The 12627-nt window shown below is 48.4% G+C and overlaps 1 long non-coding RNA gene across 1 annotated transcript in view; it reads right to left on the bottom strand.

Moving 5' to 3' along the window:
• Positions 1-4110: 4110 nt before the first annotated feature.
• FAM230C (family with sequence similarity 230 member C) overlaps positions 4111-12627 on the bottom strand; it is a 36720-nt gene continuing 28203 nt past the window's right edge. The window contains exons 5-8 of the long non-coding RNA NR_027278.1: positions 8583-8648; positions 6519-6580; positions 6020-6053; positions 4111-5624 (exon numbers count right to left, since the gene is read on the bottom strand). This is a non-coding gene — a long non-coding RNA (family with sequence similarity 230 member C). The remainder of the gene's footprint in view (positions 5625-6019; positions 6054-6518; positions 6581-8582; positions 8649-12627) is intronic.

Genomic DNA, 12627 nt, shown 5'->3' with positions numbered 1-12627 from the left:
GGGCGGCCTCCTTGTTGGCGATGCCCTGGGCGGCGTCCTCGTTGGCGATGCCCTGTGCGACATCCTCGGCGATTCCCTGGGCGGCGTCCTCGTTGGCGATGCCCTGGGCGGCCACCTCGTTAGCGATGCCCTGGACGGCGTCCTCGTTAGCGATGCCGTGGATGGTGACCTCGTTGCCCATGCCCTTGGTGGCGTCCCCGTTGGCGATGCCCTGGGCGGCGTCCCCGTTGGCGAAGCTGAGGACGGCGTCCCCGTTGGCGAAGCCGTGGACGGCGTCCCAGTTGGCGATGCCCTGGGTGGCGTCCTCATTGGCGATGCCCTGTGCGGCGACCCCATTGGCGATGCCCTGGGCAACCTCCTCGTTGGCGATGCCCTGGATGGCGTCCTCGGCGATGCCCTGGGCGGCTTCCTCGTTGGCGATGCCCTGGGTGGTGTCCTCATTAGCGATGCCCTGGTCGGCGTCCTCATTAGCGATGCCCTGGGCAGCGTCCTCAGCAATGCCGTAGACTCCATCTTTGTTAGCGATGCCCTGAACGGTGTCATCTTTAGCGATGCCCTGGATGGCATCCTCGTTGGCGATGCCCTGGGCGGCGTCCGCGTTAGTGACGCTGTGGACGGCCTCCTCATTAGCGATGCCCTGGGTGGCGTCCTTGTTAGCGATGCCCTGGATGGCGACACCGTCAGCGATGCCGTGGAGGACGTCCCCATCAGCGATGCCCTGGGCGGCATTCCCGTCAGCGATGCCCTTGACGGCGTCCCCGCTAGCGAAGTCGTGGACGGCATCCCCGTCAGCAAAGCCATGGACGGCGTCCCTGTCGGCGATGCCCTGGACGGCGTCCCAGTTGGCGATGCCCTGGACGGCGTGCCAGGTGGCGATGCCCTGGACGGCGTGCCAGGTGGCGATGCCCTGGACGGCGTCCTCGGCGATGCACTGGACGGCGTCCTCATTATCGATGCCGTGGAATCCATCTTCGTTAGCGATGTCCTGGACGGCGTCCCAGTTGGCAATGCCCTGGACGGCGTCCCAGTTGGTGATGCCCTGGATGGCGTCCTCGGCGATGCCCTGGACGGCGTCCTCGTTATCAATGCCATGGACTCCATCTTCGTTAGCGACGCCCTGGACGGCGTCCTCGTTAGGGATGCCGTGGATGGCCTCCTCGTTAGCGATGCCCTGGGCGGCGTCCTCATTAGTGATGCCCTGGGCGGCGTCCTTGTTAGCAAAGCCCTGGGTGGCATCCTCGTTAGTGATGCCATGGACATGGTCCTCGTCAGCGATGCCCTGGACGGCGTCCTCATCAGCGATGCCCTGGACGGCGTCGTCAGCGATGCCCTGGACGGAGTCCTCATCAGCGATGCCCTGGACGGCGTCGTCAGCGATGCCCTGGACGGCGACACCATCAGCGATGCCGTGGACGGCATCCCCGTCAGCGATGCCCTGGGCGGAGTCCCCGTCAGCGATGCCCTTGACGGCGTCCCCGTCAGCGAAGCCATGGACGGCGTGCCTGTCAGCGAATCCGTGGACGGCGTCCCTGTCAGCGAGGCCCTGGACGGCGTCCCAGTCAGTGAATCCCTGGACGGCGTCCCCGTCGGCGATGCCCTGGGCGGCGTCCCCGTCGGCGATGCCCTGGGCGGCGTCCCCGTCGGCGATGCCCTGGGCGGCGTCCCCGTCGGCGATGCCCTGGGCGGCGTCTCCGTCGGCGATGCCCTGGGCGGCGTCCTTGTTATCGATGCTGTGGAATCCATCTTCGTTAGCAATGCACTGGACGGCATCCCAGTTGGCGATGTCCTGGACGGCATCCCAGTTGGCGATGCACTGGGCGGCATCCTCGTTAGCAATACCGTGGATGGCGTCCTCGTTAGCGATGCCCTGGACGGCGTCGTTAGCGATGCCCTGGACGGCGTCCTCGTTAGCGATGCCCTGGACGGCGTCCTCGTTAGCGCTGCCCTGGACGGCGACCCCATCGCCAAGGCCGTGGACGGCGACCCCGTCGGCGAGGCCGTGGACGGCGTCCACGTCGGCGAGGCCCTGGATGGTGTCCTCGTTATCGATGCCGTGGACTCCATCTTCGTTAGCGATGCCCTGGACGGCGTCCTCGTTAGCGATGCTCTGGACGGCGACCTCAGGGATGCCGTGGACGGCCTCCTCGTTAGCGATGCCCTGGACGGCACCCCGTTGGCGATGCTGTGGAAGGCGACCCTGTTGGCGAAGCCGTGGATGGCGACCCTGTTGGCGAAGCCGTGGACTGTGTCCCAGTCGGCGATGCCCTGGACGGCGTCCCCGTCGGCGATGCCCTGGGCGGCGTCCCCGTCGGCGATGCCCTGGGTGGCGTCCTCGTTGGCGATGCCGTGGAATCCATCTTCGTTATTGATGTCCTGGACAGCATCCCAGTTGGCGATGCCCTGGGCGGCTTCCTCGTCAGCGATGCCGTGGACGGCGTCCCCGTCGGCGATGCCCTGGGCGGCGTCCCAGTCGGCGATGCCGTGGACGACAACCCCGTCAGCGATGCCGTGGACGGCGACCCCGTCGGCGATGCCCTGGACGGCGTCCCCGTCGGCGATGCCGTGGAAGGCTTCCCTGTTGGCGATGCCCTGGAAGGCGTCCTCGTTATCGATGCCCTGGGCGGCGTCCTCGATATCGATGCCGTGGAATCCATCTTCGTTAGCGATGTCCTGGACAGCATCCCAGTTGGCGATGCCCTGGGCAGCATCCTCATTAGCGATGCCGTGGACGGCGTCATCGAGAGCGATGCCCTGGACGGCGTCCCCGTCGGCGATGCCGTGGAAGGCTACCCCGTCGGCGAAGCTGTGGACGGTGTCCCAGTTGGCGATGCCCTGGACGACGTCCCAGTTGGCGATGCCCTGGACGGCGTCCTCGTTATCGATGCCGTGGAATCCATCTTCGTTAGCGATGTCCTGGACAGCATCCCAGTTGGCGATGCCCTGGGCGGCGTCCTTATTAGCAATGCCGTGGACGGCATCATCGAGAGCGATGCCCTGGGCGGCGACCCCGTCGGCGATGCCCTGGGCGGCGTCCCAGTCGGCGATGCCCTGGACAGCGTCCTCGTTATCGATGCCGTGGAATCCATCTTCGTTAGCGATGCAGTGGACGGCATCCCAGTTGGCGATGTCCTGGACGGCATCCCAGTTGGCGATGCCCTGGGCGGTGTCCTCGTTAGTGATGCCGTGGACGGCGTCATCGTTAGCGATGCCCTGGGTGGCGTCCTCGTTAGCGATGCCCTGGACGGCATCGTTAGCGCTGCCCTGGACGGCAGCCCTGGACGGCAACCCCGTCGGCAACGCCGTGGACGGCGTCATCGAGAGTGACGCCCTGGACGGCGTCGTCGTTAGCGACGCCCTGGATGGCGACCTCGTTAGGGATGCCGTGGATGGCCTCCTCATTAGCGATGCCCTGGGCAGCGTCCTTGTTCGCGAAGCCCTGGGTGGCATCCTCTTTAGTGATGCCATGGACGGGGTCCTCATCAGCAATGAGCTGGACTGCATCCTCGTCAGCGATGCCCTGGACGGCGACACCATCAGCGATGCCATGGACGTCGTCCCCTTCAGCGATGCCCTGGGTGGCGTCCCCGTCAGCGATGCCCTTGACGGCGTCCCCATCAGCGAAGCCGTGGACGGCGTCCCTGTCAGCGAGGCCCTGGATGGCGTCCCAGTCAGCGATGCCGTGGACGGCGTCCTCGTCGGCGATGCCCTGGACGGCGTCCTCGTCGGCGGTGCCATGGACGGCGTCCTCGTCGGTGGTGTCGTGGACGGCGTCCTCGTTCGTGATGTCGTGGATGGTGTCCCCATGGGGAGCTTGAAGAACACAGAATAAAGGTCAGTGCCCTGGTGGTGGAGACTGTGAATCACCCAGGGGCTTGCTTGGTGTGGTGCATGGAGGTGGCTTATCACAGCATGGGCCAAGCTGATGCTGGGACATACTCCCAGGTGGACCTGCACTAGTGAAGCTAAGGGATGTGGCTCAGAACACTTTCTACAGTGGGAATCAGTTTCCAGGTTCAGATATGCATTATCCAGTGAAGTGGGGAAATATAAAAAAATAGAAATTGACAAATTCATGAAAAGCCTTCCATGAGTGCAAGTGTGATTTTTTTTGTTAACCACTTTACTTTCAGTATGCATTCACACATACAATTTTTACAAGAAATCAGAAATTTTAATTTTTGTCAGTTATGTTAAATCTAACTTAGCTGCCAACATAAAGATTCTATCTCATTTACTTGGTCTCGAGAAAATCTAGCACATAGTAAGTAGACCAAAATGTTTATTAAATGAAAACACAGAGCAGAGAGAGGGGGGCTGCTAGGCAGACTGGGTTGCACCTGATTACCTGGATGATAATAAACTGCACAAAACCTCGGTCAAATTAATATTGAAACTGCCTTTTGCTTGGGCTCGTTTCCCTTGCGGAAGAAGGATGACCAAGAAGATGAACAGGAAAGAAATGAGAAACCGAGGCCTTTGCTTAGTAGCTAAAGGCTACCTTCTGTAACATGAAATAGTCTACAAGTGGCCTTGAACTCTGCCGTGATTCAGTGACAGAGTTCCCTCATGTCTTCTACCCAGGTTGAAGTCCAGCAAAATTGCGACTGTCCTCTTTACAACTTGCGAGACCACATTGCTTCTGCATTTGCCTGTTGTATGAGATTTACACTTGTTTTAAAGCAACATTTTGTTTCAGTTGGGCTGGTGGCCATACCCGGCACTAGCCAGTCAATAGTGAGATGGCTCCTCATGGAGGAGGCTTGGCTTGAGGCTGAGGGTCTTTAACCCACATATACAAGAGAGTTGCCACTAAGGGATGGAAGCCAGGCTAATAACCAAGTGCCACACAGAGTTCCTATCTGTCCCTCCTCACCATTTTTGGCTGGCAGGTTTTGAGCATTTTAGGGCTTGGGAAGATAGTATTACTAAATCTACTAAAATACATCACCCATCCTTACAGGCTTTGGCCAGCTGCTGAGCAAATTAACTTCACAACTGAAGTGGGCCACACTGGCATTTGTGGTCCCCCACTCCTCTTAGAATTTGTGAGCGTGGGGCCCACTGGAGGGTGGGAGGTGGGAGGAGGGGGAGGATCAGGAAAAATAGCTGATATTAGGCTCAATGTATGGGTGATGCAATAATCTGTACAACAAACTCTCATGACACACATTTCTATATGTAGCAAACCTGCACATCCTGCACATGTACCCCTGAACTTAAAAGTTAAAAAAAAAAGATCTGTGAGCTGAGCAAAACACCTGGGGATCTTTGTGCTTTTGACACACTGATGACTATGCCTGTCCGTGGGGAGATGAGCCTATAACTGCCCTGGGTTGTGTGACCACAGAGGCCACTTTATGATGATGGGCAGTGTCTGGGGCCTTTTGGGCTCGGTGCTTTAGGGCTTATAGATGAATGCTGAACTCCCTGTGTGGTGGTGAACACTCCATGACTAAGTGCATGTCAGTGTCAGCACTGGCCCACACTCCTGGGTTCGTGTTTTCACTTTTTCATTCAGGAACTCAGGAGCTGGGGCCACTCCCTTGGCCCTTCAGGTTCTCCACCTGAGTAGTCGGGATAATAAGGCAGACCCGGGGATGGCTCTGGTGAGGGTAGAGGAGTCACTGTACAGAGAGAGTAGAGCGGGGGTGGATTTTATTGTTAGAAGTGGACACTGGTGATTGGGTTGTATAAGTGGGAAATCTCTCCTGAGAAAACACACAGCCTCACCTGTACAGAAACACACACATTCACACCACACGATGCAGCCTCAAACAAGACACCACCAATCCTCAAGCACCCAACTCAGCACCACCCAAAAGGGAGCACAGCTGCTTCCTCAAAATTTGGCCATAATTTTTCCCTGGGGAATTCAGGTTTTAAAAAAACACTTCCCCTATACTTATTCCTATCACAATCCCAGGATCAGGGTGGCTCTTCACATTGAAACCAGGCAAGGATGCCACACCTTTCTTGGCATCCAGATTGTTTTCTTGGCAAGTGATTCCAGAATACTTACTAGATTCACGCCTCAGAGGGGCCACCTGCACCACCTGCAATACAGAAACAAAACTTTTTGAGGGGTATGTCATGTTGTGGATTGTTTGCACAAGGCTCTGTTTCTCTCAATGAATACTGAAAACTTGATCAGAAAGTGTAGTCAACTTCAAGGCCTCCAAGACAAGGGTAGGATACACACTGGAAAAGACATCAGCTTCTGGATGGTGTATCTCTCAGGTCCACGTAGGTTGGCAAGTGCAAAATACTGAATCCAAGGAGAAGACATTGCTTCCAAGGACAAGGATCCCAAGGATACAGTCTACAACCTGAAGCCGTCATAGCTAAATGCCATTTTGGATTACATATCAGTTGCTAAGAGTCACTTCTTCCTCCCCCTCAGAAAACTGCATTTAATACCTGTCATGGACATTGTCATTTTTTCACATGTAAAGTCAGTTGAAAAAGAAAGACACCAAGAAAGGAACATTTCTATTTCAGAGAAAGCAAGGCAACCTTACCCTCACGTTGACTGGCCTCTCTCCATCTCCTCTGTCCTTGTGAACTAGAGACTCCTCAGAGGCTAGGAGGACACACAGCAACAGTTAGTCATAGATGCTTTTGTTCATGAGTTATTCAGGGAGCTCTGCTTAATGTGGACAACAGGACAGTGTGTGTGGATGTGTTTCATTAAAAGCACAGCTTGAGCTCCTGCTAGAAAATCTTCCCTCGTGGAAAGACAAGCAAGAACGAGGAGCTAAGGAGCAAGAAATAGAGTCCCTGGCATTTTGCTGATGGCAACTTAAGGCAATGGGAATGAGTCAGTCTACAAATGGTACTGAAGCACATGCTATAGTTTGATGAGAGTCCCACTGCTCACACTGTGAGGTTTGAAACCCAGCTAAATGGTTTTCTAAACCCTGTAAAAACAATATTAGCTTGCAGGATTTATGTCCCAAGACTAATTTTGCCTCTGAGGATCCACAGTGGCTGTCACTGTAGTTATTATGTGTTTTAGCATTTTGCACTTGAATAAAAGCAAAGTTTAATAGACAGATTGGATTCAATTCTAGGCAAAACAGTCTATGGTATTTATTCACTAATCCTTTGTTATAACTGCTGATGGGAGAATTAGAAGTACTGAAATTATATCCTTTAAAATTAATTAAAGCATAATTATTAATCACACAATATTTTTTCATCCCGGCCTCCTTTTCTTTGTCATGCATGCATATTAATTGAGGATGGAGAATATCTACGCTTGTTCAGGCCAGCCAACATACGACAGTTTACTTCAAGAGAGGAGACATGGGTTGAATGCTGGTATGTTTTAATTCTGCAGCACAAACAGTTGCAACAAGTGTGGTGAACTAATCACCAGATGGCCCTTTGCTGCCTTATTTGTCATTGTGCCTTACATGTAGCTTGCAGGATTTGATTACGCTTATGTTTTGTGGTGATCATACTTTCAACTATTCCTAAGATACTGCTTCAGTCTTATCTGTTTGGGGTCAACTGCTGAGGATTTCTTACAAATTAATGAAGTTTGTGAATCTAAAGTTCTACACAAAGGGGGAAATATTTGCAAATCATTTATCTTGTAAGAGACTAAAATTTAGAATATATTTTAAATATATTTAAGATATATTCAAAAATCTACAACAACAAACTAACTAAATAAAAATCAGACAACTCTTTAAAAATGGGCAAAAGACTTCAACATATATTTCCCTAAAGAAGATATAGCCACAGATAGTAGCACAGGAAAAGCTGCTCAGGATCATTAGTCATTAGGGAAATGCAAATGAAAAACACAAGCAGACACCAATATACACCTACTAGGATGATTTAAAGGAAAATAAGTGTGAACAAGGATGTAAAGAAATTGTAACCCTGATACATTGATGGTAGAAATGGATAAAGTTGCAGCCACTGTGAGAAACAGTCTGCAGTGGCTCAGAAGGTTAAATGTAGAACTCCCGTTAGACCCAGGAACTCTACTCTTAGGCACCCCAAACAATAGAGAACAGAAATCAAACAGATGCTTGTATACTAATGTTTATAGCATCACTTTTCACAGGAGGCAAAAGGTGGAAATAATCCAACCATCAGTGAACAAATGAATGTAATAAAAGCAAGGTGGTCTACATGCAATGCTACATCATCCATCTGTAAAAAACGAACATAATTTTGGTAGATGATACAACATGGGTGGACATTGAGAACATTATGCTTAGTGAAATAAGCCAGACACAAAAGGAATATATTGTATAATTGTACTTACATGAAGTGCCTAGAATAGTCAAATTCATACAAGAGAAAGTGGATAGGAATCACCATGGGCTGGAAATAGGGGGAAGGCGCTATATTGCTTATTGTGGACAAGGTTTTGTAAGAAATCATCAAAATTGTGGGTGTAGATAGTGGTGTTGGTTATGCAACCCTGTGAATATATTGAATGCCACGGAGTGCACACTTTGGTTAAAAGGTTCAAATGATAAATATTGTGTTATATATATTTCTCCAAGATAGCAAACATGCACAGCCAAGCCCAGATGCCAGTCTTGTTAGCTGCCTTCCTTTACCTTCAAGAGTGGGCTGAAGCTTGTCCAATCTTTCAAGGTTGCTGAAGATTGTATGATGGAAGTCATCTGCATTGGGAAAGAAATTAATGGAGAGAGGAGAAAACTTGAGAATCCACACTACTCACCCTGCAGGGCCAAGAACTCTGTCTCCCATGCATTGCTGACCCGTCTCAGTATTTCCTGTGACCACCTCCTTTTTCAACTGAAGACTTTGCACCTGAAGGGGTTCCCAGGTTTTTCACTTCGGCCCTTGTCAGGACTGATCCTCTCAACTACTGACCATTTCACCTCCATTCATGTCCATGCCACATCAGGCTGTGTTGTCTAGATGGAATGAATCCACCCCAAATGTCCCTTTCTGGAGGAAGCCACCATTATGCTGTGCCTCCAACACGTCCACACACACCAAGTCACCTCGCTCATGCAAGGTGTGTGTCCTCTAACAAAGTTTCACGCTCTAAACCCAGATAACTTTTGAAACCCAAGTTCTGTTGATTCCCCTACTTTGGGTGCTCCATAGTTGCTCATTTGTCTACTAAACACTGCCCCAGGCAATTAAATATTCCAAAGTGACCAGCAGAATTTTTATGTTAATTCTGACATTGCGTTGTTAGTACAAGTGTTTTTCCCCCTTCAAATTTATGTCTTTGTTACTGATAAATGTAACTGATAATGCTTTTTTCAGCTATGTTGCCAAGCATATTTATATAAAAATATACTCAGATTGTTTTCAGAATTTGACAAAGATGATAGCAACAATGATAATCTCATTTGTTTTATACTAATCTTTATGTGTTACTTTCATCATTTCTTACATATTGGGGCCTACCATACATTGTACAGTGAAATTAGTACTATGCATCATGGTAGGAATATAAATTGGCAAAAGTAATTTAGAAAATAGTTCTCGTTTCTTAAAAAAATTAGGCTGGGTGTGGTGGCTCATGCCTATAATCCCAGCACTTTGAGAGGCAGAGGTGGGCGGATCACCTGAGGCTAGGAGTTTGAGACTAGCCTGACCAACACAGCAAAATCCTGTCTCTACTGAAAATACAAAAATTATCCATGCGTGGTGGTGTGTGCCAGTTGTCCCAGCTACTCGGGAGGTTGAGGCATGAGAATTGCTTAAACCTGGGAGGTGGAGGTTCCAGTGAGCTGAGATTGTGCCACTGCACTCCAGCCTGGGTCTCAGAAAAAAAAAAAATTTTTTTTGACCAAAATGTCATTATGCATTACATGACTGTATATGAATGCTCAAAGCTACATTACTCATCAAAGAAAAAAACAAAATAATTAAATGTCCATTAACTGATAAATGAATAAACACTATCTGTATGAATAAACACAGCAGACTATGAAGGAAAACACATGACCAGCACGTGCTAACACGTCAATTAACTTCAAACATAGTATGCTAAATGAAGGAAGTCAGATTCCAAATATATATATATGTCCATTTCTATAAAGCAAGTGGGAAATTTATGGAGATGGAATGTCACAGCAGTATTGCTTAGGGCTGGAGATGGGAGTGGGGATTAACTGCCAGTGCACAAGAGAGAACTTGGGTGAGGGAAACATATTTAAATTAGATCGTGGTGTTGGGTGCACACAGTATCAATTTAATAAAGCATCAAATTGCAGACCTTTTCAGTGGGCAAACTTTATGGTGGGTTCACACCCAATATAGGTGTTAAAAATAAATTAATGTTATGGAAATTCTTGTCGGGTTTTTAACAAGCCAAGAGATATGCTGTGAAAGCAGCATTAATTCAAATGGTTGTCACAGGTCACTTAATCAGATAGTTGTCCTACAAATATAGGGTGAATGTTATTCACGAATTTCCTGAATCTATTGCAATAATCACATTTTTTTCCATTAAACTCTTGAGGTAGCTAATTTTATTTATTGCATTTTCAATGTTAATCTACTATTTCATATTTTGAGATTAACTCACATTAGTCAGAATTTACAGTATTTTAAAATATCACAGAATTTAATTTACCTTATCTGGTTTTGGTTTCAAGACTATACTAGCCATTTCATTTAATTGTACATGTAGGGTATTCTAATTTATGGAAAACTATTACATCTTCCTTGATTTTTTTTTTTTTTTAGAAATTACTTCTAGGGATCTATATGGTAGAGTCCATGGAGAATTGTTTTAATTCTACATTCATGTCTTCAGTGGGTATACGATTGGTCATATTGGTCATAGTTTTCTGCTCGGATTTCAATAAGAAACTTGTGGAAGAACCTGAAGGGTGGGATCTTTGAGGGAGCCTAAGACGGAGCAAGACAAGCTAAGAAGGAGGGCAGTGCCACAGCAGAACTGTTATTGATGCCCCCTCACCTAGATTGCAGAAGAGACATCCAGCTGTAGACACTGAGGTGCAGGAAAACAATGGAGCACCATCAGAGAAAGCAGTGCCCAGGAACAAGGAGGCACTGATGGTGGCAAGGGGCAAAGACAGCTACCACGAGGCTGTTCACATGAGGGTCTCAGGCTGCATAGACACCCACACCAGCTGAGGGGTCCTGGTTTTCATAAAGTGTGTGGCTCAGCCAGGCCACCAACAAGAAGTTCACAAACAGTAGTAATACGACACTTTCCAAAGACCTTACTTGAGTAACATGGTGATCCTCACAAATTTCCAATCAGGATGGTCGCACGGTTCCTCCTGCTTTAGGACTCAGAGCCTGCCCATGGTCACAGTGGGTAGGTGCAGACTCTGAAGATGCCCTTTGGTCAGAGACCCCGCTGAACTCTGTCTAATGAGGACCTCTGTCCTGTCTGCTGACCACCGGTCAGAGGTGCAGGCTGCACTGGGGAGTAAGAATGCCACCTTCTCAATGTTGGGAAAACTCCCTGCCAGAACTGAGAATGGCCCTTTCTAAGCAGAAGACAAGCTCAGACTAAAGAAGGAGGCCGACCACATCAGGTTGGCAGATTGCCAAAGATTCACTCAGGGAGAGCCCACATCCTGGGCCATCTTGGGTGGTGGCAAGATGAGGTAGATGACTGCTTTTGCAACACATACCTGACAACAAAAAATCAACAACTGTAAAAGAGCCACAAAATCCCCAAATATTTGCAAATTAGCAATGCAGTTTTAAATAACTCATGGGTTAAAGAAGAAGTCTCAATAGAAAATTAAAAATACTTTTAACTACATTAAAAGAAAATGTGACTTGGCAAGATTTCTGGATGTAGCAAAAGCAGTCCTTAGAGGGAAATCTATAGCATTGGATGTAATATACTAAAAATCACAAGATCTAAAATCAGTAATATCATGTTTCAATTAGGGAACTGTAGAAAATAGAGGAATGCAATGGAAAGCAAGTAAAAGTAATAAACAACATCACAGAAATCAATAAAATTAAAACACTGAAATCATCAGAAAATCAATAAAACCAAAAGCTGGTTCTTTGATATGCTCATTACAATGAATGAATTGATATGCAGGCTAACCAAGAAAAAGAAGATAACACAAATGACCAATTTCAGAAATAAAAGAGGAGCCATCTCTACTGAACTGTTAGGCATTAAAAGGAATATTATGAACAGTTCTATGACCGCAGTTTGATAACCTCAGTGAAATTTATCAATTCCTTGAAAGGCAATCTTCCCAAGGTCACGCTAGAATCCTAATGTGAATAAACTTATGTCTATTAAATAAGTTGAATTCACATTAAGAGCATTCCGAAAAAGAAAGCACCAGGCCCAGATGGTTTCTCTCATGAAATCTACCGAATTCTTCAACAGGCGAATAAAAAGACAAAAATTCATTTAATGCAATATTATTTGGTGATTTAATGTGCCATTTTTTGCCATTAAGGCATAAAAAAGACATGAAAGCAGCTAAAGCGTACATCAATTTAGTGCAATAAATTCATCTGAAAAAACTACATAATATATGATTCCAACTATACGACATTCTGGAAAAGGCAAAGTTGAAGCGATAGTAAAAATGTTAATAGTTGCCATGGTTTCTGGAGAAAGAGGACAGAGATTAATGAGAAGAGAGGATTTTTAGGGAAGTGAAC

This window comes from Homo sapiens, chromosome 13 (genome assembly GCF_000001405.40).
Source record: "Homo sapiens chromosome 13, GRCh38.p14 Primary Assembly".
Classification (NCBI taxonomy): Eukaryota; Metazoa; Chordata; class Mammalia; order Primates; family Hominidae; genus Homo; species Homo sapiens.
Note: the sequence above shows the minus strand (reverse complement) of the source record. Positions and strands in the feature narration are given on the sequence as shown.